Here is a 24803-nt window from a genome sequence, read left to right on the forward strand (position 1 = left end):
TTACATGTGGAATTTGAACCGGACTATGAAATCTATTTCTTCTCTAATTTGGTTCAAGACCTGAACATGTAACCTTTGAGTATACAACACAGGTTTAGATTATAAAGGCTTCTTTTCCTTTTTTCTTTTTTTTTTTTTTTTTGAGACAAGGTTCTTGCTCTGTCACCCAGATGAAGAACCCGCCCACTGGAGTGCAGTGGCATAATCATGGCTTGCTGCAACCTTGAACTCCTAGGCCCAAGCAGGCCTCCTGCCTCAACCTCCCGAGTAGCTGGGACTACCTTTGCTGCTGCGCCTAATTTTTTTTTTTTTTTTTTGGCTTTGTAGAGACGGAGTCTCTGTTGCCCAGGCTGATCTCGAACTCCTGGGCTCAAGTGTTCCTCCTGCCTTGGCCTCCCAAAGTGATGGGATTACAGGTATAAGCCACCATGCCTGGCCCTGTGGGAGGTTTCTTATAAAGTGAAACCACTTGTTACTCAGAACGGCATTATGCCTCGCTTCAGGGTAGGAAATAGAGAAGCATCAGCAAACCCACCTGGAATGGTAGGCTTTTTATTTCTCTTTCTCTAGTAGGGTTTTTTTTTAAATTTTATTTATTTTTTATATTTATCTTTAATTTAATAGAGACAGGGTTTTATTCTGTTGTCCAGCCTGGAGTTCAGTGGCACGATGATCATCACTGTGACCTCAAATGCCTAGGCTTGCCTCTGGAGTAGCTGGGACCAGAGGTGCATACCACCACGCCCAGCTAACTTTTTTGTTTTTCTTGTATAGACAGGGTTTCACTATGTGTCCAGGTTGGTCTCGAGCTGTTGGCCTCAAATGATCCTCCTGTCTCAACCTCCCAACGTGTGGGGTTACAGGCATGAGCCACCAGGCCCAGCCTCTAAAAGTGTTTTTTTTTTTTTTTTTTTTTTTTGAGACAGGGTTTCACTCTGTTGCCTAGGCTGGAGTGCAATAACATGGTCTTAGCTCATGGCAACCTCCACCTCCAGGGCTCAAGCAGTCCTCCCACCTCAGCCTCCTGAGTAACTGGGACCACAGGGGCATGCCACCATGCCCAGCTAACTTTTTGTGTTTTTGTAGAGACAGGGTTTCACTGTATTGTCCAGGCTGGTCTCAAACTCTGGAGCTCAAGTGATCCGCCCGCCTTGGCCTCCCAGAGTGCTGGGATTACAGGCCTGAGCCATTATGTCCGGCCTCTAACAGATTTTAAGGAAGCTTTTGTTCTGTCTGATATCTGTATGATCATGGGAGGGGAGTGGAGTGTTCTGCCCACCCCAGAGTGACTTAAATTCAAATATTTGTTTGTTCAATAAATACTTATTGAATACCGAGTACTAGGCACTGTCCTAGGTGTATCTAGAATGAAGCAATAAACAAAACCATGTTATTCCCCTCGAAGAGCTTATTTTCTGGTTGGGGGAGAGGAATAATAATAAACAATAAACAAAAACAAAAATAAATAACAGTAATTGCGTGCTTATATATGCCAATTACATTTATTAACTCACTCTTCAGAATACTGAGGAAGTAGCTGCTGTCATTATCCCCATTTCATAGACAAGGAAACCGAGATACAGAGAAGTTGAATTAACTTGCTCAGTGTCACATAGCTAGTAAGTGGTGCTGTTGCATTCCTGTCCAGGTCATTGGACTCCAGATTTCATGCCCTTAATCACTGTGGTATTTTGTTTCTCTTTTAAAAAACTGCCCAATCTGTTTATTTCTAAAGAAGGAAAGAAATGTCAGTGATAGTGTGGTGAACAGTGCAGCAAGGTACACAGTGAGAGGGTTCTTGCATGTCTGTTTGTGCATGCTATTCTAGTGTGACTGAGCGGGTATCTCTCATGAGGTGAATTGAAGGAAGCAACACTGTGACCACTTGAAGGAAGCAACACCGTGACCACGTAGGTGTCTAGAGTGAGTATTCCAAGCAGAGGGAACTGCAAAAGCAAAGGCGCTGAGATAGACAGAGATAGATTTGGCAATGGCGAGAGAGAAGCCAGGAGAATGACAAGGAGGCCTGTGTTGCTGTGCAGAGCGTGGGAAGGGGCACGGGAGGGGAGGAGCCAGGAAGTAGTGTCCTGTGCAGCCCCGCAGGGCTTGGCACGGTCTTTTGGTTTTGCCGAAAGAGAAGGAAAGCCACCTGAGGATTTTTGAGCAGGAAAAAGACATGACAGAAAGGATCATTCTGGGCTGGGCATGATGGCTCACGTCTGTAACCCCAGCACTTCGGGAGGCCAGTGTGGGCGGATCTTGAGGTCAGGAGTTCAAGACCAGCCTGGCCAACATAATGAAACCCTGTCACTACTAAAAATACGAAAAATTAACTGGGCATGGTGGCGGTTGCCTGTAATCTCAGCTATACGGGAGGCTGAGGCAGGAGAATTGCTTGAATCTGGGAGGCAGAGGTTGCAGTGAGTGGAGATCGCACCACTGCACTCCAGCCTGGGAGACAGTGTGAGACTCTGTCTCAAAAAAATAAAAGTAAAATAAAATAAAATAATCACTCTGAATGTAGTGCAGAGAATCTTCCAGGGCAGGGCCAGCAGACCACAGCCCATGGCAGGTTCTGGCCCACTGCCTGTTTCTATATAGCTAGCAAGCTAAGAATGCTTTGTATGTTTTTAAGTGGTTGAAAAAAAATCAGTATTTTATTTCACATGAAAATTATATGAAATTCAAATTTCAGTGTCCAGTTCCAGTTCTATTGAAACAGAGCCACACTCTTGTGTGTATTATCTGAGGCCGCTTTTGAGCTGCAACAGCCAAGCTAAGTAGTTGTAACAGGGAGCATATGGCCTGTAGAGGCTGAAAGATCTATACTGTTTGGCCCTTTACAGAAAAGAGTTGTTGATCCCTGGTTTGGGATAGAAGTAGGGAGACCAGTGAGGAGACTGTTGCAAGAACTGATGGTGCCTTGGACAGAGCAGGAAGAAATGGTCATATATGGGTTATGTTTGAAAGGAAGAGCTGGTAGACTGTATTAATATAGGAAGAGTCAGGGATGATGACTGTGTTTTTGCACTGAGTAACTGGAAGAATGCTATTCTTCTTTACTGAGATCAGGAAGACTGAGAACAGCAGGTTGGGGAGGAGGGGTGAAGAGAATGTAGGTTGTGTTTTGCACCTGTTGACTGTAAGATCAGGTGGAGATGTTCAATAGGCAGTCGTATGTTTGAGTTTGTAACTTCAAGGAGAGGCTGAGGCTGGAGCTAGATTTTGAGTGTTTTCAGCATATAGGGGGTTCTAAAAGCCGTAGGACTGGATGAAATTTTTTAGGGAGTGTATACAATAGAGAAGTCCAGACATGGAGCCCTGGGACACCCAATGTTAAGGGGAAGCGGGTAGAAGGGAGGCAAAGGAGAATGAGAAGCAATCAGAGAAGGAAGACAGGAGATGGGGGTGTCCTGGAAGTGCATGTTTCTCTTTGCTTTGCTTTGCTTTTTTGAGACAGAATGTCCCTCTGGTCTCAGCTCACTGCCATTTCCACTTCCCGGGTTCAAGTGATTCTCTTGCCTCAGCCTCCCAAGCTGGGATTACAGGTGTGTGCCACCATGCCTGGCCAATTTTTTTATTTTTAGTAGAGATGGGGTTTTGCTGGGTTGGCCAGGCTGGTCTCGATCCCCTGACTTCAAGTGATCCACATGCCTTGGCCTCCCAAAATGCTGGGATTACAGGTGTGAGCCACCGCGCCCGGACAAGGAAGCTCATGTTTCAAAGCAGAGTGATATCTATGTCAGATGCTGCTAAAGCTGGAGCAAGAAACAGACGGGTTTCACTGTGGGCTTGGTAGCGGGGCGATCGTTGGTGACTTTGATAAGAGCTGTATGAGTGAAATGGTGAGAATAAAAGCCCAGTTCCAGGTGGTTCAAGCAAAAACGACTGGATAGGGAGCTGAGCTGGTGCTCTGAAGGAATTCTGCTTTCGGCAGCCTAAGTGTAGGGCAGGAGAGGGCAGGAGAGGGCAGGGAGTTGGATTTAACCTGGGATTAGGATTTTGCCAGGTGAGTACAGTGGAGGGAGGAGGCATAAGGGAGTTGAGCATTGCGCAGAAGAATCGATGTGAGGATTGAGGATAGACCATGTGGTCTAAGCCAGGCAAGGAGCCAGGAGGCATGAAGGAGCTGAGGGTCAGTAAGAGGTCATGGGGTCAGTGGATTCAAGGAATAGGATCGAGGAGTTGTTGGAGTTGGGATAGTCGAAGAGTAGATAGAGGGCTTGAAATCGGTATCATGGAGGGGTCAGTTTTGGTTACATCAAGGTCAGGGGCTCTGCTGTACAGTAGCAGTGTCAGTGAGTCACGTGTAATTTTTAATGTTCTAGTAACCATATTTTTAATAGGTAAAAATAAAGGAAACTAATTTTAATAATATATTGTAATATATTTTATTTTACCCAGTAAGTCTACATTACATGACCATGTAGTAAGTATAAAAATTGAGAAGTTACTTATTTTGGTATGAAGTCTTTGAAATTGGTATATATCTTATATTTCCATTACCTTCTAATTTGAAGTAGACACATTTCAGGTGCTCAGTGGCTGCCTTACTGGACAGCTCATGGGATGGTCATGGAGTGTAGTCCAGGATTATCACAGGGGAAGTGTTTAAAGGAACAAGGAGGTCGTGGTTCATGAAGGATTGGCCGTGTAGATCTAAAACCATTTCTCACTCCTTCTGAGGGGAGCAAGGCTGAAGAGGAAGGAGGGGACACCATGGCAGTTGGTAGAGGTCATGTGCTTCGATGGCTGAACCTAGCAGCCTTTTACCATGCAGAGAATTTAGCTTATTCTCTAGAGACACACACACACACACACACACACACACACACACACACACACACAATTTTGTTTGGCTTTGATCCACACAATGTGTTTTTAAAGATGAATAAAAATTGATAATATCAGGTATTTTTTAGCCTCGTAGGCCAGGAAAAAGTAAAATATTTTGAAAGAGTAAACAGGAGCGTCTCAGCAGCATACATGTTACTTTTCATCTTAATCATGTGAGCCTCTCATGAAAGCCTCCAAGGAGGAGGTTAATGGATGCCCCAATTCTGTACCTTTATCAGGTTTAAGCTTACTTCAGTTTCCCTTTAGTTTGTTGCCTGCAGTATCATAATTAACCAAAGAATTCTTCTCAAAAATTACCCTCAAAAATCCTACAAACCCCACTGTTAGGAAGCGAGCCCATTTTGAGGAAGTATTTGTGAACCCTGTGTTCTTGGATGCCTTATGTGTTGAAGGAATAATTACTTGTTCATTTTGTAGTGCTAAAATCCTGGGAATGCGCAGTCTAAGCAGTCTAGAGCATGTCAGTATCCCACCTTTGGAAATCTCCTAGGAGCATGTAGAGACTCTGGTTTATCATTAACTGTGTTGCTTTCCTATCTTTTACACAAAGTATTCTCCTTCCCGCACCATTGTATTCACATGACAGAAAGCTCAGTTAATGCCTTTTAGTAATAATGAAAGCTTACTCATTACATACATTTTCTTAAACTCTCTTTATTCTAATTAAAATGTTTCCATCTGATGAGGAAGTGTATGGATACCAAGAAGTGGAAATTAAGCAAGAAATTAAAAGAACATTAATGGCTTTCTTGTAATTTGTTTTGAGGTTTTTCTTCCTGCTAAATGGTGTTTTGCTTACAGAGTCACCCCTCACACAGAAATCTTTATGATGAATGGACTGGAATAAATCCCAGCAAAAGAAGAGCTATTTTATGATACCTCTTGTAAATTACAACACATGTTATGGAAGTATTTGCTTTTTTAAAAATATTAGCTTTTTAAAGGCATTGTTAGTATAATTAATTTGGCACACACACAATTCTAGTTTCTTTGAAAGTGAAGGTCAGTGTGTGTGTGTAGGGGATTAAGAAAATGAGAGTTCTGACATTTAAAAAATTATTTTCTATTTATACCTGAGTCATTAGAATGCTCAAACCATCCAAAGTATAACATTTAAACTTGCAGTTCATTCATTCCTTCAGAAATTTGCTGCTGAAACTTAAACTTTAACCAGCATAGCCAGCGTAGCCTTAACCAGGGCAGGTATTTGGTCTGCAGTAGGCAAGCCTTTGCCCCCATCCCTCGTCTTCAGGCTGCAGAGTCCACATGCATGCCATTGCTCTGGTGGGTTCTTTTTCTGGTCATTTGGACTTGTCTCTACTAATAAAGTATTCATTAACTTGAAACTCCTACCTCTGAATGTAGATGCAGGTGAAAGCAGAGAAATACCAAACCCACCCCTTCCTGATGAAGTGCAACATGCCCCACCCAGCTGCATCTCACCTGCTGCCTCCCCTCCTCCTCCCCTGATGTGTGGACACTCTTTCTGTCCGTTCCTACTTGCTGTTCCCTTCTCTGCACGAGTCCTTCCCCTGGAGGGCAGCCCGCATGCCACTCCTCCCATGCACCTTTTCTTGGGAACTGTGTTCAGTACAGCCTGTCCTTTGGTTCACTCTTACCCTGGGCACTGCTTCCCATGTCCTGTGCGGGCCCTTGCCATAGCATATTGTGATTTATCTCTGTTGGTGTCTTTACTCCACTCAAGTGGGAGCTCCTTGGGCAAGGGTGCTGGTCCTCCCTTATTTTTGTTTTCCTTGAGCCCACCATCTGCACGTGGTTATGGGTGGATGGATGGGGGAAGTGACAGTGGGGTAACATACCTTCAAGCCCAAAATGTAAACTTAATAAGTGTTTTGGAGGAAGAGAAGAATAAATACTGTTTTTGTTTATACAGGTCTTAAAATTTTGGTAGCAGAAAGCAAATGTGCAAAGAGCAATGGAAAACAAGTCAGAAGCTGCTGTCTGATTCCAGAGGAACTCGTATTTTATGTTAAAAAAAATGTAATTGACATTTGATTGCCTTGAAATCTTCAATTTGTTGTGCTGATATCTTAAGTAACTAATTATTTAGTTGAATAACTACTAGGGAAATAGGCCATAAATGTCACTCGTGCTTTCCTTGTAAGAAGCCCACAGCTCTTCTCGCAGCATGCTCTTTTCAGTACCTGTTCTAGGTACTTGTGACTTGTGAAAGTCACTGGCCTCTGCGCATTGGGCACAGGCCTGAAGGCGATGTTTTACTCACATTTTGTCCACTGGAATTAAACAGCTGTGCTGATATTCAGTTGATTTGAGGTTTGTTTGGAAATCAGTCCCAAATTTGGGAAGCAAATGAGACAGAACCCTCCACACCCTACCACATGCTTCCAGCTCATCCCATGAAAACTCATGAGCACAGTGTGGAGTGTTTTATCTACAGCCACTCCCTTTTTGACCCTTCCCCCAAAATAGTGAGGGAGAGAAATGAAAGAACAGATCTGGGGCTTGCCTTCAGCTTCACTGTGCATTTTTGGTCATTTTGGTCATTTTAGAAGTCATCTTTCACTTGTTAGGATGTTACATTAATTGGGAGATGCTAGTCGTTTTGTTCATGGAAACCAGAGTATCCCTTTGAAGTATTATATTCTTCTAATCTATGAAACTGGCCCAGGAAGTAACAATGGGAAGTGCTGGAAATGGAATTTAAGAAGTCCACCTTCTTAGTCCTGTGCTTAAGCAGAGAGTCTCTAGCAGGGAGCCTCTGCAAGCATTGTGTTCTGTTGTATCAATATGTACTTAGATATGTTAATCTGAATTAGGGAGTTGATTGTACATAATGACTCCCCTGGGTTGCTATGTTAGAAGAAAACCCAAAACTTAAGTAGTTTGCTGAATATGCATAGTAAGTAAAAAAATTCTTCCAAAATTAGTGTTAATTGAATCTGAGCCTTGATCTTCTTTGAACCTTTAATTTTTTATTTGATCTTTTAAAAAAGTTTTGTGGCCTCTTAAAGATAAAACCTACAACCCAATAAAAGTCATGCTGTAACGATTGCAAAAAGACCATTGTATGAGACCCAGTTTTGGATTATCATAGGCGAAGAAGTCAGACATATATGGTTGTATGTACATGTGTATAGTATGTGGGTGGGGGTAGATACATACCTGTTCATCTGTATACGTATGTGTGTGTTTAATATATACTTTAGTTTGCCTTTACCCAGATGTCTCCTCCTCTCTCTGCCTCTGGAAATGGGGCAAATTTTTCTTCAGTTAAAAACAGAAATAGAAGCGACGGTTTTGACCCATTTTACACCTATTTATTTCAGGCTCTCACCACACACTTGTTCATGGGCGCAGCAAAGAAGAGGGATCCACAGAGCTGGAGCCATGAGGGCTGACACATTGGAATGAAAGCTGGCAGAATTCGTAGGGAGAGCTTTCCCATCCTGCCAGCCCCATGTCTGGCTTTAAGACAGTTCTATTAGTGAATTAACTGTTCTCAAAACCCCAAATTAATTTGAACCGAATGTTACTAAAAATGAAATAGAATAAAGTGACCTACTCTTGCCTCATCCGGAGTTATTACGAAGGAGCTCCGCAGCCTGACTGAGCTCTGGAGAGCAGGGCTCTGTGCACACGCCTCCTGGTCCAGAGGCCTCCGTGACCATCCATGATGCCACTCTGTCCCCTCAGCAAGCTGCCTTTTTCTTCCTAGCACCTGCCCCAGCGGTGGTATGTTTTCCAGTCAGTTACCACCTGTCTCATCAGAATGGAAGCTCCATGAGAGCAGGGCCTTTGTCTTGTCCCCTTGTATCTTCAGTGCATAGGACAGTGCTGACACAGTGCAGAGTCTAAATAAACGCTGTTGAACGAATGTGTGGGTCACTTGCGTCGCATCCTTTCTGAATGTTTTTCCTTTAACTTGCCATTTATAAATACCTTTTCCAATGATAAAGCAGTGAAAGTTTGGAAAGAAGCATAAAGCTTTTGTTGTGATTGAAGTAACTGGAAGCCTAGTTCAGGGTGCTGTGAGAAGCTGGAGCATATCAGGACTTTGGAATTATGAATTACAGACTTACTATATGTGATGGTATCGGTGCCTCCTGAAGAAGTAGAAGACAGAGATGCATAGAAACATGAGTCATGTCTCTGGAATACTGTAATATCGACATCTAGTGAGAGTCTAGAAAGAAACATGGAGAAATAAAAGGGAGGCAGGAAACAGGCAAATACTTAGTGGTTCTCAGTTATTTAAGGTAAATTTTGGCATCGAGTAAACAAGATAAATCAAAATATTTTCTAGATCAAGTAGGCATTAACAAAGATATAGAGGAAACTTGGAGGCGATTACTTAGATAATACTAACAGAAGTACTTTTGTTCCAGATACCTCCACAGATGCCATGGTTACCCCGTCTTTATTCGTTGTGTGTTGGCATAGGCCAGAATACCAATATTGTTCTTAAAAACCTTTGAGGAAGTTTTTCTTTTTTTCTTTCTTTTTTTTTTTTAAGCAAAGAACAGAAACAAAACCAAGGAGACAGTATCCTGTGATGTAGGCTGTTACCTCAAGGTGAGTTTATTTGTAGCACTAACTTGTAACGAATTGTTTAAAGAACTGAAACTTCTTTTTAGGTATAGCTTATTTGTCAGATTTTGTTCATTTCAGTGTAAACTTCAGTTATTTATTACACACTGAGGGAAATCAACTAAAATCAGGAAAACCAATGTCCAATTGAACTTGAGTTTTATTTTGCATAGAGAAGTAACCAATATTTCTGATCAAACCATTAAAGCTGTTTCAGTTCCTTTTAAATAAAAGCAAAGGCTAAATTTTTTACATACCACAAAGCAAAATAAAACGAAAAAACCTTTGGTCATGATGCATTTTTTATTCAACTGATTGCTGAATTATTTTGATTATATAATCTTACACTCTTATGAAAGTATAACAAGTATGAATTTTCTGAGGTGAAGAAATAAATGTAGAAAGCAGTTAATGAGGCAGAACTCACAAATCTGTATTTATAGTTTCATGGCAAATAAATCATAAGCAGAGGATACAGATGTAAAGAAAAATTCTTGATTGCATTCAAGAAATGCAAGGTCGAACTAACTTTTTACTGAAATGGAATTGTATCGCTGCTCAGAGGGATGTGGGGAGTAAAGTAAGTGGGATGTGCTTAGAACAGCAAGCTAGGCCGCAGTGCGCACTCGTCAGTGTCTGCTGCTTGTCTTACGAGGATTCTAGCACAGAAGATTAAATCATGTTTTAATCATGCTTAATAAATGGTACTGTAGTTTTATTATGGTTAATGTCCACTTGTAATTCAATGAAGAGTGGCTTTTTAAAGCAAAGGAGAAATCAGCATGTTTTTCTTGGCGCTCTTATATTGTGTGTGTGTAGAAGATGCTGGGATGGGTTATCCATACGACAACCCCTGTGACCAGAGATGCAGGAGCACATGCATCACTCTTAGTTTTATTTTATTTGTTTTATATGTTATTTTCATAAATCTGAAGGTTTGATCAGCTTACTGTTTTTAGTATTTTCTGCTGCTGCATGTGTGTACCTTTAAGTTTTGTAGAATTAAATTGAAAATTTTGACCAGCAAATGCTTAAAGCCACTGTCAAAATTACATAGTTAGCACTTCATTGATTTGAAGGCTAGTTTTCATTCAACATTCCTGCAGTTTGTGTGTGACCTGATTTTAAAGAGCAGTTCCATGAGTTAGTGCCCTCTGGTGGCACACAGAGGACGTCAGGCAGAGAGGGACTCTGACCCAGGAGCCTTCCGGAGGCTCTGCTGAAGAGAAGCCAGTTTATGACTGGCCCTGTAATTTCATATTTTTTCATGTGTTCAGTGCTCGTCAGTTTCCTACTCCATTAAGCCATGGCCCTGGCATTGACTCAGTACCAGCTTTATAGCAAGTCTTCAGCAGCTTAGGTTGTGAGGGAATTTCCAGGTGGACTTGATATAAGAAGGGATTACCAATGTTGAGATTTCCCATGAGGAACCAGGACATCCATTTTTGGATGCATCTCTTAGCTCCTTTTGAAGAGCAGACCATGTCACTTCCTGGGTTAAGGAAGGAAGGCTCCCTGATGGCCTTTGAGTGACTGACTGGCACAGCTTGGGGTGGGCCTTCAGTGGGTTAGTCTTTGATAGGCCTTTGTTTCCCATTTTGGTCTTCCCTGGAGGGCAGCCCACCTTGCCCACTTAGGCTCTTGGACAGTTTTCTTTTTTTTTTTTTGTTGAGGTGAAGTCTCACTCTATTGCCCAGGCTGGAGGGAGTGCAGTGGTATGATCACAGCTTATTGCAGCCTTGACCTCCTGAGCTCAAGTGATCCTCCTGCCTTAGCTTCCTGAGTAGCTAGGACCACAGGTGGGGGCCACCATGCCCAGCTGATTTCTTAATTTTTCTGTGGAGTCGAGGTCTTGCTATTTTGCCCAGGCTGGTCTTGGAACTCTTGGCCTCAAGCAGTTTTCCTGCTTTCCTCCCCAAATGCTAGGATTATAGGTGATGAGCCACCCTGCCCAGCCTGCTTGGCCAGATTCTGTACTCTTTAGGCAGACCAAAAACTGAATCCTGTCATCACTCTGAAAAGTTGTGGGACCTCAAGAAAGTCACTCTTTCATGAGTTTCTTTAGCTGTGAAATAGTCACAGATTCTAAGCTGTCTTTTGAACCTGTGTCAAGAGAGAGTTGTGAGGATGATGTGAGATGATGTGTCTGAGAGTCCTGACACATTGACCTATGCAGACTGCTGCTAAAGACATTTCTCTTTCCTTCCTCAAAGGCAAGCCTCCCCACCTTGATTAGAAGGTCATTAAAAAGGAACTTCATTTGACAATAATCCCATATTTATAATGAAGTTGCTAAGATAGTTTGGAGTGCCCATAGATCCCTTACCTGGTTTCTTGTGCAATCCCCACTTTTATACTGTTGAGTTTCCCTGATGAGTTTTCATATATATAATCTCTGTGAACTTGGATCAAATTTGGCTTAAATGCCTATTTACCACTTTGCTAAGACAGAAATGTTTGCGCTCAGTCCCTGAATTCCATTGTAGATGTGTTGGCATTTGCTTCCAAACCATCCTTCTGGTTTTAGCTTGCCCTGTGTCTGTGGTCATTTGACATTAGAATAGCCTTCTGTGATCTTCCGGGATCTTAACACCTAAATATTTTCCCTGCTTGTACAGCTAATGAGTTGTGCAGCCTAAGGAAACATGGGGTAGTCAGTTTTCATCAGTATTTCAACTAGGCGTTTTTGCCATCTCATAGCTACTTCTCAAGCAATTACAATTTAAGTCAAGGTAGTAGCACCTGCATCTTCAAAAAACAAAACAAAAAGTTTTTTATCTTCAGAAATAAGGAAAGAAGCTTATTGGACTTCCCAATAGAAAGTCCACCAGCCAATTTTAATACATAAATAATCTATGATTAGCATTAGTATATGAAAAAAATAGTAGCAGCTCAGATTTTATGTACTTCTGCAGTTTAAGAAAGTGATGCCACAGACAACATCTCATTTGGTTTCTTAGCAACCCTGAAAGACCAGCAAGGAGAGCTTCGTCCCTCCCTTTTCATGAACCTGAATGTTGTAAGGGAGGCCAAGGAGTGGCCTGGTGAGACTGCACAGCCAGAGTTAGAGCCCAGGTCCACGTGAGTCATTGTACAGACACATCCTGAGCACCAGCCCACCCACTTCTGCCATCAGGAGGCTTTGAAACTGCTGTGGTTCCCCTCTTAAAATGGCTAACCTCTACTTCAGCAACCTTATTTATGCATTCATATACATAATCATTCTTTAAAGTCTAGTAGACAATTTTCACATTTTGTTTCAGCCCAGATCTTTACTAAATTTTGTGAGATCAGCATTGTTGGGCTTGAATTAACCAAACTTCGCCATACTGTGCCTTCAGAAATCCCAGATTGGGCGGGTTGTGAGTTCATCTCATCCTCTTCCTGACATTGACACTACCAGCACCATCAGCAGGCTCTGGGATAACTGCGGCCCCCTCTGAGAGGCTACATCTTGTTTGCGATCTGTGGGTTACATATTGTGCTAGAGATAAACCTTGACAGTAGAGACGTGTGACATATTTTTTACAAGAGTCACTGAGATACTTGAATGAGAAGATGATGTAGTTTGAAAAAGTGATAAATGGGCCAGGTTCTTGAGAAACTAGCAGAATGTCTTATTGAAACCTTGGGATCCAATCTGAAAACAGAAATGAGTCTTCCAAGCAAATTTTTTTCTTTTCTTTTTTTTTTTTTTTTTGCAAATGTGGTGGGGGTAGATGCTTTTATATAAATTCTATACCTGTTTCTGTGGTATAAAAATCAAATTTTGTCCTCTTTTGCCTCGGTTGGTTGGTTTCATTTTCAACTAGGTCTCCGTTTCTAACAGCATCTCAGGTAACTTTTCTGAAAAATGTGGGTTCAGAGGAGCTCATGTGCTGGTGGCTGTAGTGGCAGCTAGTTCTAGACTATGAGATCTCAGTGACCACTTTGGTGGGTGTTTTGTTTTAAATCAACAATAGAGGTGAATCTGTACTACAAAGTAAAATGTATGAGTAGATAGGTTTTCATGTTTTGAAGTTTTTTATCTTCAGAAATAAAGAAACAGCCTCATTAAAGAACTGTTAAAAAAAAAAAGAGCTGTGGCCGGGCGCGGTGGCTCACGCCTGTAATCCCAGCACTTTTGGGAGGCCGAGGCGGGCGGATCACGAGGTCAGGAGTTCGAGACCAGCCTGGCCAACATGGTGAAGCCCTCATCTCTACTAAAAATGCAAAAAATTAGCCGGGCATGGTGGCGTGCCTGTAATCCCAGCTACTCAGGAGGCTGAGGCAGGAGGTGGAGGTTGCAGTCAGCCGAGATCGCGTCATTGCACTCCAGCCTGGGCGACAGAGCAAGACTCCATCTCGAGGAAAAAAAGAAAAGAAGAAAAAAAAAGCTGTTTGTCTGTTCTAGCCTGGCACCTATGAGTTCTGGAGCAGCACCCAAAGCCAGTTCCTGCTGGCTTTCCTAGGAGCCTCTTTGGCGTGGGTGGGCGAGCTGCTCCCTTGCAGCAGTTTCAGATGTCACTTGAGAAAAATATTTGTTGTTGTTTGGTTGCCCTCTTCAGTTGTGATGCTTTTAGGAAGTTAGGAAACAGATGAGACAGTCTGGCTGGAATAAGAGGGTGGGTAACCACTGATCTGAGATCATCCCTGTTGATTAGGTTTGCAGAATTCTAAATGGAGATTGTAGCTTCACATGCGCACTGAGGGGGTTGTGCGTTTTCATAGGCTTATGTTCCATCGGGCTTCTGCATGATCTTGGAAGAGAGAGACTAGGTGTGGTTCTTGGCTCTGTTGGCTGGTGGGTTTAGCTGTGGATCACTTAAGAGACCCATAATCCTTGCTTTTGTACCGTTCTGTATTCCGTTTGTCAGGCTGCGAGGGAAGGGGGTTTGTGCTAATTTGTATCTTACTGACCCTGACTGGAAAAGAGATTAAGATTTTGGTTGTATAATTAACATAAATGACCAAAAATATCAAGCCCACTCCTCACACAGGTGACCCAGGCATCCAAATATTTACTCCAATGATTAGTGTCTTTCAGCTGTAGATGGGCACTTCTTTCCTTTCCTTTCTCCTCTCTCTTTTCTTTACCCACCAGATAGATTCACACTGAAAGATTAAAACAGGCTGTGGGATTTAAATGCTGAAAATGAAGATTGATGCTTTCAGGTGCCTTGTGGCAAGCACAATTAAGTGAACGGAGAACTGGGGCAATTGTTTATTTGAAGGTTGGTGTGACATATGAATGAACTTATTTTTTCAGTACCCACCCATCTACCCGGAACTGAAATAGGCATTTGGAGTAGGTTTTGCATTTTAGGTTCAATTTTAAGAACCAGCCATTCACTGTGAAAGCGAAGTTGCTGGGAAGTTTGTTTTAAGGATGATGCCACCCTCTATTTCTGTGAACCCAGTAAAAATAGCATGGAATAAAATTTAATTATGCTATACTGAATATTTCATGTGGAATTAAGGGGCAAAAGCTGCCTTTAAAAAGCATTAGGTTTGGAAAGAATAAAGGCTTTGTAGGTTCTTTGGAAGATACTATAATTAAAAGATTTGCTCAAATGTATTTTTCCCTTTTTGAAGAATTTAAAGAAATCCATCCCTCCCTTCCTAAATTGATTACCTCTCAAGCGTCAGCCCTTCTTGGCAGTAAATACGGTGAAGCTGCCGCTGTGCTGATTTGACGGCTTCTTTCTGTTAAATGTAAAATAGTTTTTTAATCTTCTGATTTAGATGTTTAATAGAAAGTAAACGTTTGACTTGCTTTGGTTTCTGCTGAACCTGTATTTAAATCCACACAAACAGTTTGAATAAAGTGAAAACATCACTGGACTAGCTATTTTAAACATTTCAGGATATAAGAATGCTAAATGGGGGTTCCTTTTAAAAATAGAAATGGCGGCTTGCATTTACATAATTACTGCTAACTAGCACAACATTTTAAATGGTGACAAACTCAGGGTAGAAAAAGTATCTGTTTTAAAAGCCTGGTAAAAGGAAGCAGAAAATGCTCTGTGAGCAGCTGCTTCAGATGGAGGGTCTTTGCAAAGCCGGGAGACCAAGACTTTTCAGTAGGGAGGGCGAGGTCAAGGGAGGAGGCAAGAGGTAGCTCAGGCAAACTACTTACAGGCCCTGAGCCTGTGTGTGGGCCTGAACTCACCCACCTTTCATTTTGGAGCATGATTGTCTAAGTATTAACACTTAAATCTGCCTTGGTGTCTGTCCGGACAGGGTGCAGTGTTCTCTGTCCGCTGTTAAAAGGTGTCAGGTGAGGGTTGAAGTTCAAAGTTGGTGAAAGAGCATGGAAGAATATTTATGAACATGAAGGCTGAGATTCACTTAACACAAACTCATCAGTAGTTCAAGCCAGAATCTCAGGCCTGTCCTTGATTCTGCCCTTTTTTCCCCATCCCAGACACCCATCTTTCTCCTTCCAAAATACATCCATCTTTGCACATCTCTGCTAGTACCACCCTAGTCCAAGCCACCTTCTTTTCTTTGCCTGGAGATCTGTCACATTTTCCTGTGTGGACTTCATGTCTCCAGTTTGCTCCCCTTGGAATAGATTCCCCATGCACTAGCCAGGGCAATCTATGAAGAATGTAAATAGGATTCGTTCACTAGCTTAAACCCTACAGTGACTTTCTATCCATTTGGAGTCCGGTCAGCATGAATAATCTGGCCTCTGCCTCTCCATTTCCTACCAGGTGCCTCTTCCCTCTAAGCACCCTTCCCATACGGGGAATCCATCAAACATGATTCTTTTTTGCATTCGCTGTTTTCTCTACCTAAAATTATTTCCTCTCCTCCCCATCTTTGTTTGCTGGCTCCTTTGTGTCATTCAGGGCTCACCTCAAATGTTATATCCTCAGAGAGACCCTCCCCCGATAGCCTGATGACAGGTGATAGTCCCCTGTCACTCTGTCATGTGGCAGTGTGGTTTTTTTCGTAGCATTTATTACTGTCTGAAATTGTCTCTTCTTTTTCTTTTTGTCCTCAGCTCTTCCCCATCCTATTAGCTCTTTTAGGGCAGGGGGCCCTGTCTATCTCCTTTTCAGCTATGTTCTGAGTAGTTAGATGTACCTGCAAGTGCCTAGGTATCCATTGATTAAATCAGTGCAGGAGCGGAACCCTGCAGATCACTAATGCCCAAGAAGAGCTCCCACTTGGTGGAACTAGCTGCCTAGAAGCTGCTCCTCAAATTCTTGCCCACATTTTTTTTGAACCGTTTGGGAAAAAAACTGCTCTAAACTTTGCCTTTTAGGGTTGAAAATTGAAATTTGGGGATTCACAGAATGCTTGTACTTAAACAGAATCAGCCTGTGTCCCTAGAAGGACATGAAATTCCCCTAGTTCACCCCAAATGAGATGAAAATATAATTTCCTAGCATTCTTGGTCCATAGTAGGAGTTCACCAGTGGCGATCTGCCTCTGTGTCCTTCCTGGGGCAGTGGGATGGCACTGCTTGCCTTTGCTGAAGACTGAATTTGAATTCCCTCAGATCCAGCCTTCGGAGCCAGATAGCATTTTCTGTGATTTCTCCTGTGGCGTGTCTGGCCGGGATGCTTTCTGTGTTGAATGTTCATTTTGGGGTTAGGTAGCAAATCTGTTAAGATAGAGATATTTGCGGAAATCTAAACTTTGGTCAGCCACTTTTCGTTTCATTAGTTTTCCACCTGGCAACATCCAAGCGTTCAGGAGGAAAACATGGTAATGGCTACTGATACCTAGGCAGTTGTGATTCCTTCCCTAAAGAAGCTGATGCAGAGGGTTCAATTAACTACTTCTGAGGAACCCTTTGCATCAGCTTCCTTAGGGAAGAAAAGAATCACGTTTCCAACTCACTGAGTCTCAAATGTATTATGCCACTCCAAGCTGTTTGTTGAAGTATTTACTTTGGTCTTGAATATACTCGTTGGGGACTGGATTGTAGAACTCAGGAGACCCATCTGCTTGGCAGAAGCTCCCCTGTGCAACTTTTCATTCTTGTTGCTGTCTTTATCAGGGCATTATTACAGTGATTGGGTTGTGCAAGGAGAAACAGTAACTTCCCAGTTAATTTATAGTGAAATGGACCTTTTTAGAACTGAGACCTAGAGATAAAGCCATGGAGCTGGAGGATTTCAGTTGCTTTTGAGTGAGCATCAATTCATTAGACTAGTTTTAAGAGAACCTCTCCCTTCTCATGTTTGACCAGAGCTGAAGATGCCTCGACTCTGCCTGGTTCCCCACTTGCCTGAGTAGAGAACAGGTTCAGGTAGGAGGGAACAAACAGGTTGAGCACAGGCAGAGTCAGGAAAGGGCCTGGCCTGTTCAGGATCAAGATGTGTGAAATGAAGGTGGGAAGATGGGGGTGGAAAATGGGTTTTGACCAACATATGGATGGTCTTGTGTGCAAGAAGCATGTAAGCACAGCAGATTGTGTTCCCATGGTGACAAGCTGCTGAGCCACTGTGTGTTTAGGGTCAGTGTGGGGCGGGGAGTAGTGTTGGAAGTCCATGTCAGTCATTGGTTTCCTAGTTAGTGCAAACTCAATAAGCCTGTATTTACTGGAAGCCATTTTTCTCATATATACACCCCCAGATTGTATATCGCTTTTCTGATTTGACTTTTTGGCTGATTGCTTTTGAAGTTAATGTGGTTTAGTCAACTGAATGTTCTAAACATCTCCCTTTACCTACCTGGTCGGTACTCCTGGTGAGTTTTTGAAAGGCAGTGTCTTTCCCACAGAGATTAATTAGAAGTTAGTGTGTGCAGTACACTTGACCCTATGTTTGACACACATTCAGTATATGGTGGTGATTATTTGTTTGAAAATGAAACAGAGCTCTCTGATGGAACCTGAAGAAGTGGGATTGGCACTTCTAGATGGATATATGGGTTGTGTTTAACTGCTTTGAATGTTAGTAAGGGAAAAGTATCCACTTACTATTGTTCATTTCTTTTTTCCCAGCCTTAAGAGCCAAAATGATTTTCTGCCCACAAACGTCTTGGTTTTCTTTTTCTAGCCTGTCTTTTCATGGCTAAGATATTTGCAGAAATTTCTGGCTAGCCACCAGTCCATAACTTTTTCTCTTCTTTGCAGACACTGTGTTTAGTGGTATCTGAAAAACCCTACGAATCCAAAGTTGTTTACCCTACGAAAGTTGAGATTCCAGTTCATTTGCTAACCTGCAGTTTCTTATTTCTTGTCTTGGTACTTCAGTTGGCTCATTAAATATTTCTTAAAATTGGTTGAGGAGCTTAAATATTTGTTAAAATTGTAATGTGTCCTGATTTAGAGGAAACTAATTATTATGTACATCTTACTAGATCCATCTGTTGCCCATTCCTCAGATACAGTGATAGAAGGAGAGAGAAATTCTGGGCCGGGCACGGTGGCTCAAACCTGTAATCTCAGCACTCTGGGAGGCCGAGGCAGGCAGATCACGAGGTCAGGAGATCGAGACCATCCTGGCTAACACGGTGAAACCCCGTCTCTACTAAAAATAGAAAAAATTAGCTGGGCATGGTGGCGGGTGCCTGTAGTCCCAGCTACTCGGGAGGCTGAGGCAGGAGAATGGTGTGAACCCAGGAGGCGGAGCTTGCAGTGAGCTGAGATCGCACCACTATACTCCAGCCTGGGTGACAGAGCAAGAGCCCATCTCCAAAAATAAACAAACAAACAAAAGGAGATAGAAATTCTGTCTCCAGGCAGATAAGTTATAGTTCATAGAGTGTGAGAGAATGGGCTCATAATGGAACAGTTATCCTGGGTGGAGTTGGTGCTTCGTGATGGTACAGATGCTTTCCAGGGATATGCTCAGGAAAGATACTGGAAAGAGATTTTCCTAAGTCTCATCTCAAATGAGCTTTGCTTTGCTTCAACTGGCCTAACTCAGCAGGCCCAGCTAGCCTGATACCAAGAAGGACCTCCAGCCTCTTGTTGCCTAGCCGACCTCCAAACAGGTAGCTGGCCAACATGGGGCCCCCTGGTTTGTTTTATTTTGTTTGATTTTTTTTTTCTTTAAATGGAATAGATGATCTAGACGTAGCACCAAGGTGCCCCTGTCTTCCATCACCTTCATGTACCTGAGTACCCACAAGCTCGCCTGTGGATCTGTAGGAAAACCAGGTAAGTCTCTAGGATCTGTGAGGTCATCGGTACCGTGGATGCTTCTTCAGGGTGGGGAGGGTTTGCTGCCATTGATAGCCCTGCACCATCATGGAAGCGTGCCCAGTCTGTTTCCCCATCTTTGATGCACTGTGGATGATAAATAATCATCACTGCTGTGTGATGGCTGAGAGGGATTCCAGCCAGTGTGTGCTAGGTTATAGTGTTTTCCTGATGGATGGAGCCTATTCTGGGAAGCAGCTTATTGTCTCACGTGAACAGGCTTTCTAAAATAAATGACTGCTTTCTTAATATTTTGAATCCTTTTCTTCAGCACATGTTTTGTTGCCGTGGTTTGAAAGCTTGCCAAATATATGCCTTTGCACAACTCCCTGTAGGGCTGGGTATACAATCAGACCAAACAGTGTGATTTAAGTTTGAGCATAATTGGGAATTCAGCAATCACTTGCCTTGCATTTGATGGAATGGCAGTGGAGTGCTTGAGAGTTACTTCGCTGTTAAAAAATTATATGTGTATAACGCGCACGCGCGCGCGCACACACACACACACACACACACACACACACACACACACAGAGTTTCACTATCTCATAATAAAGTTGTACCTGAAACCACTGGGCAAAAATAACACTAGCATGATAAATAATTGCTTGATTTTTGTGATGGAGGCAGGAATTAACTTCAACAAATCATAGCAGTTGATACTGTAGATATGACTGAGGACTTAAGTTATATAAGGTTGTGGAATGGAAGAAAATCACGTGGTGGCAGCAATACATTTTAAACACAAGCCCTTGTCAAGTCCTTCATCGGTTGATCTGTTTCCTTGTTTCTGTGTACTTTAGTAATTGAGCCATAAACTTGGTGAACTTGGTGTTGCCTCTGTGTTATACAAGCATCTTTGGATTTTACATTGCCAACACTGTGCGTGTTTGTTGCTGTTGGATTGTCAGTTACCTATAATTGAGACCTTTTCGTGTGTCTCTTTGCTGGTGGGAAAAATGCTGTCAACAGCCCCACTCCCTGCAGCTCTTTGAAAAGTCACATGTGAAATCCAGAGTTTGTTTACCAGGCTGAAAGAGATCACTTTACCAGAAGCTTACAGTAAATATCCAGGTGATAGAGCCTGGAGATACTAAACATATGCTGCTTCATTGCTTGGTACATTGGTAGTCATCAGGCCTGCCACCAGCACTGCAGACTGCACAGGACACAGAGGTGGTGTGTGGAAGGGATAACTTTGAAACTGTGTGTAAGTTATCATAGCCACCAGAGTTTCTTGATGGTGGCCTCCCGTTCCCGTGCAATGAGACAGCCTCCTGTCATCCCTTGTAAGATGGTGTTAATCTGACAAGAAAGGGAAGTAAAAACTCTGAGGTCAGAATTCTTAAGTTTTTTTTTCTGGAATTTTGGACACTTTCTAATAATTGAAAAGCACCTGTCTTTTGGAGTTTTAGACAGTCAAATTAATCTAACTCCAGAATTTAGCCTTTATTTGCAAACAACATGATTATGAAAAACCCATGGAATCTATATAAAAAAAAACCCAAGCACCTATGAGAATAAATGAATTCAGCAAGACAACAAGATACAAGATCAATTGTATTTCTATATATTAGCAACAAACAATTGGAAGAGGAAACTTAAATATCAGTACCATTTACAGTAGCTTCAAAAACTTCAGATACCTTAGAATAAAACTAAGAATATGTGTAAGACCTCTATGCTGAAAACCACAAAATATCTGTGAGAGAAATTAAGAGAAGATCTATATAAATGGAGGGCTATACCATGTATTGAAAGACTAAATAGTAAGATGTCTGTTTTCCCTAAATTGATTTATGAATTCCGTGCCATCCTACTCAAAATCTAGATAAACTAATTGCAAGGTTTTTATGGAAATGCAAAAGATCTAGAAAGACCAAAGCAGCTTTGAAAAAGAGCAAAGCTAGGAGATAGCCTGATTTCAAGACTTCCTGTAATGCTACAGTAATCAAGACAGTGTGGTATTGCAAAAAGATGGACATATAAATCAATGGAACCAAATAGGGAATCCAGAAACAGATCCACACATAGATGCTCAATTGGTTTTTGACAGAGGTGCAAAGGGAATTCAATGGAGAAAGGATAGTCTTTTCAACAGATTGTAATGGAACAACTGGACATTCATGTGCAAATAAAATGAACCTCAACCCATACCCCATACTGTATATAAAAATTAACTCAAAGTGGATCATAGACCTAAGTTTAAATCTATAAGCCTTCTGGAAGAAAACATGGGAGAAAGTTTTCATGACCTTGGGTTAGCAGTGATTTATTAGATATGGCACCAATTGTGCAATCCATAAGAGACAAAACATCAGACTTCCTAGAAATTAAAAAATCCTGTTCTTCAAAAGGTACTGTTTAGATAATGAAAAAACAAGCCACAGACTGGGAGGAACCTTTGTAAAACATACGTCTAATAAGGGATCCATAATGTATGAAGAACTTTAAAACCTTTAAAAACTTTAAAACAACCCAATTTAAAAATGGGCAAGAGAGTTCTCTAGACATCTTAGGATACACAGATGGCAACTAAGCACATGAAGAATGTTCAACAGCGTTATTCATCATTGAAATGAAACTAAAAACCACAATGAGATGCTGGTACACAGTTACTAGGGTATCTTCCCAAAATAAAACCAAAAAGACCCTGGTAATACCAAGTGCTGGTGAACATGTAGGGAAACTGAAACTCTTGCCTGGTGCGGTGGCTCACACCTGTAATTTACCCAGCACTTTGGGAGGCCAAGGCAGGTGGATCACTTGAAGTCAGGAGTTCAAGACCAGCCTGGCCAACATGGTGAAACCCCGTCTCTACTAAAAGTACAAAAATTAGCCGGGCATGGTGGTGGGCCCCGGTATTCCAGCTACTTGGGAGGCTGAGGCAGGAGAATAGTTTGAACCCAGGAGTTGGAGGTTGCAGTGAGCAGAGATCACGCCACTGCACTTCAGCCCGAATGACAAGGTGAGACTGTCACACACACACACACACACACACACACACACACAAAAAAAAAAATAAAAATAAAAACTCGTACTGGCTTTTAGGAATGCAGAATGCTACAGCCACTTTGGAAACAACATTGACATTTTCTTATAAGTCTACACTTAAGAATCTTACAAATCTGCATTTACAGCAAGACCCAGCAATCCCACTTCTAGGTATTTACCTAAGAGAATATAAAGTTATGCACCTACAGAAATTTGTATGGGAACATTTACAGCAGCATTACTCATGATGTTCAAAAGCTGAAACAACCCAAATGTCATTCAACTGGCCAATGAATAAGCAACTTCATTGGAGTACTACTCACAGTGAAAAGGAACAAAGTGACACAACATGGACGAGTCTCGAATGCATTATGATTAGTGAGAAGAAGCCAGACTCAAAAGGCCTGATTCTGTTTATGTGACCTTCTGGAAAAGCCAAAATTGTATGGGAAGAAAACATCAGTGGTTGCTGTGGACTGGGTTGCTGTGGGTGGGTCGGTTACAGAAGAGCACAAGGGAACTTTTTGAGGTGATGGAAATTTTCTGTATGGTGTTTGTGATTGTGGTTATGCAGCTCTGTTTGTTTGTCAGAATGTATGGACCTGTGCACTTTGAACAGGTAGTTCACAAAAGAAGTTATACACATGGCCAATAAGCATGTAGAAAGGTGTTCAACGTCAGGGAAATACAAGTTAAAACCACAGTGAGATGCCATCTATTATTAGAGTGGCTAAAATAAAAAAGACTATCAACATGAAATGTTGGTGAGATTGTGGAACAACTGCAACTCTCAAACATTGCTGGTTGGTGTATGAAGTAGTCCAACCCCTTGGGAGACTTGATTGGCAGGTTTTCTTTCCTGAAATTAAACATACATGTACACCATGATCCAACAGTTCCACTCTTAAGTATTTACTTTAGGAAAATGAAAATATATGTTCCCAAAAGAACTTATATAAGAATGTTCATATAAAGCCAAAAATAGAAACAGCCCAAATATCCATCAACTGAAGAATGAATAAATTATTACAGTGGAATACTGCTGAGTAATAAAAAAGAATGAACTACTGTTAACAACCATATGGATGGAGCTGAAGAACAGAAGGACATACCCTATGAATGCATTTAGATAAAATCCAAGAACGGATGAGACCACTCTATGGTGATCAAAAGTGTTTTCTTAAGAGTAGGGAGGGGAATTAACCGGAAAGAGGCAAGGAAGGTTTTGGGTGGTGGAAGTGTAGGCTCACTCCCATTTTGGGTAGTGATTACGTGTTTATACACTTCTTAAAACTCATCCAGCAGATGAAGATCTATACATTTTATTGTATGTTAATTATACCTTAATTAAAAATATATTTAAAACCCACTTTTACAGCTGTTTTATTGAATCCTAAGTTTATTTAGAACCATTTATTCTGTTGGGTCATCATTATGTGCATTTTGCATAACCCAAGTTTCTATGTGGTGCATCTTGTTGGCATTATCCAGTATTTTACTGAAGCACGAGGAAAGACTCAGCTTGTGATTGTGCTCTTGGACATGGCTCAGAGCTTCAGAATATCCAAGGAACAGGTGAGTAACCCATGTTTCTGACCCTGGGTCCTATAGGACCTGTCTTTATTTACCAGTTCACCATCTGTAGAACCTCAGTGTTACGAAGAAGTTGAAGACTTTCCATATGCCTAATCTTAAGGGGCAACTCCTTCCAGAAACTAATGTAGCTGGAATTCATCATTATGGATTGAGCTGGATGGGTGGGAAGGAAGGAACGGTGTGGACAAAGGATTGGAAGAGAGGCCCTTGCTCCAGTTTCCTGTGGACATCGCAGACCTTCTTTTTATCTGTACTCTCCATGGGCAGTGTCATCGTTGGGCAAGACTTCTATCATTACCACTCTGTTGACGATTCCCAAATTATCTACAGTTTATTCCTCTCTCTTGAGTTCAAACGACATATCCAGATATTTATTCTACCTTGCTCACTCTACTCAGCAATGTGCTGCCATTCTCATTTTGTGTAAGTTTCTCCTGGCCCTTCCCTGGTACTATTTTCTCTCTCCATTTCCCTTCCCATTCTTTCCTTCACCACAGAAATCGTGCATCTGCCTCCTCATTCCATTCAATAGGCACTTCTCATGTTAGAATTCACTGAACACGCTTAGTTATTAAATCCCATGGCCTCTTTTCAGCCCTCATCCTTCCTGGCTTCTCTGTAGCATTTGTTGATGTTAGCT

General features: G+C 41.9%; 1 protein-coding gene across 31 annotated transcripts in view; it reads left to right on the forward strand.

The window, feature by feature from the left end:
* The window catches only part of CAMTA1 (calmodulin binding transcription activator 1), a 984253-nt gene that overhangs the window by 94035 nt on the left and 865415 nt on the right, over positions 1-24803 (forward strand). For 2 of the 31 annotated variants that reach the window (NR_038934.2, NM_001242701.2), the window contains exon 4: positions 8166-8713. The exons of 25 other annotated variants lie outside the window; for them this stretch is intronic. Coding sequence is in view for 1 of the 6 variants with exons in the window: in NM_001242701.2 (NP_001229630.1) it covers positions 8166-8237 (72 nt within the window). In the remaining 5 variants the exon portion in view is untranslated. Of the gene's footprint in view, positions 1-6751; positions 8714-9352; positions 23937-24803 lie in introns of those variants that run through there. 4 more of the 31 variants (NR_146202.2, XR_001737064.2, NR_146203.2 and 1 more) reach the window with 4 other exon arrangements.

The sequence above is a fragment of the Homo sapiens genome, chromosome 1 (genome assembly GCF_000001405.40).
Source record: "Homo sapiens chromosome 1, GRCh38.p14 Primary Assembly".
NCBI classification, from domain to species: domain Eukaryota; kingdom Metazoa; phylum Chordata; class Mammalia; order Primates; family Hominidae; genus Homo; species Homo sapiens.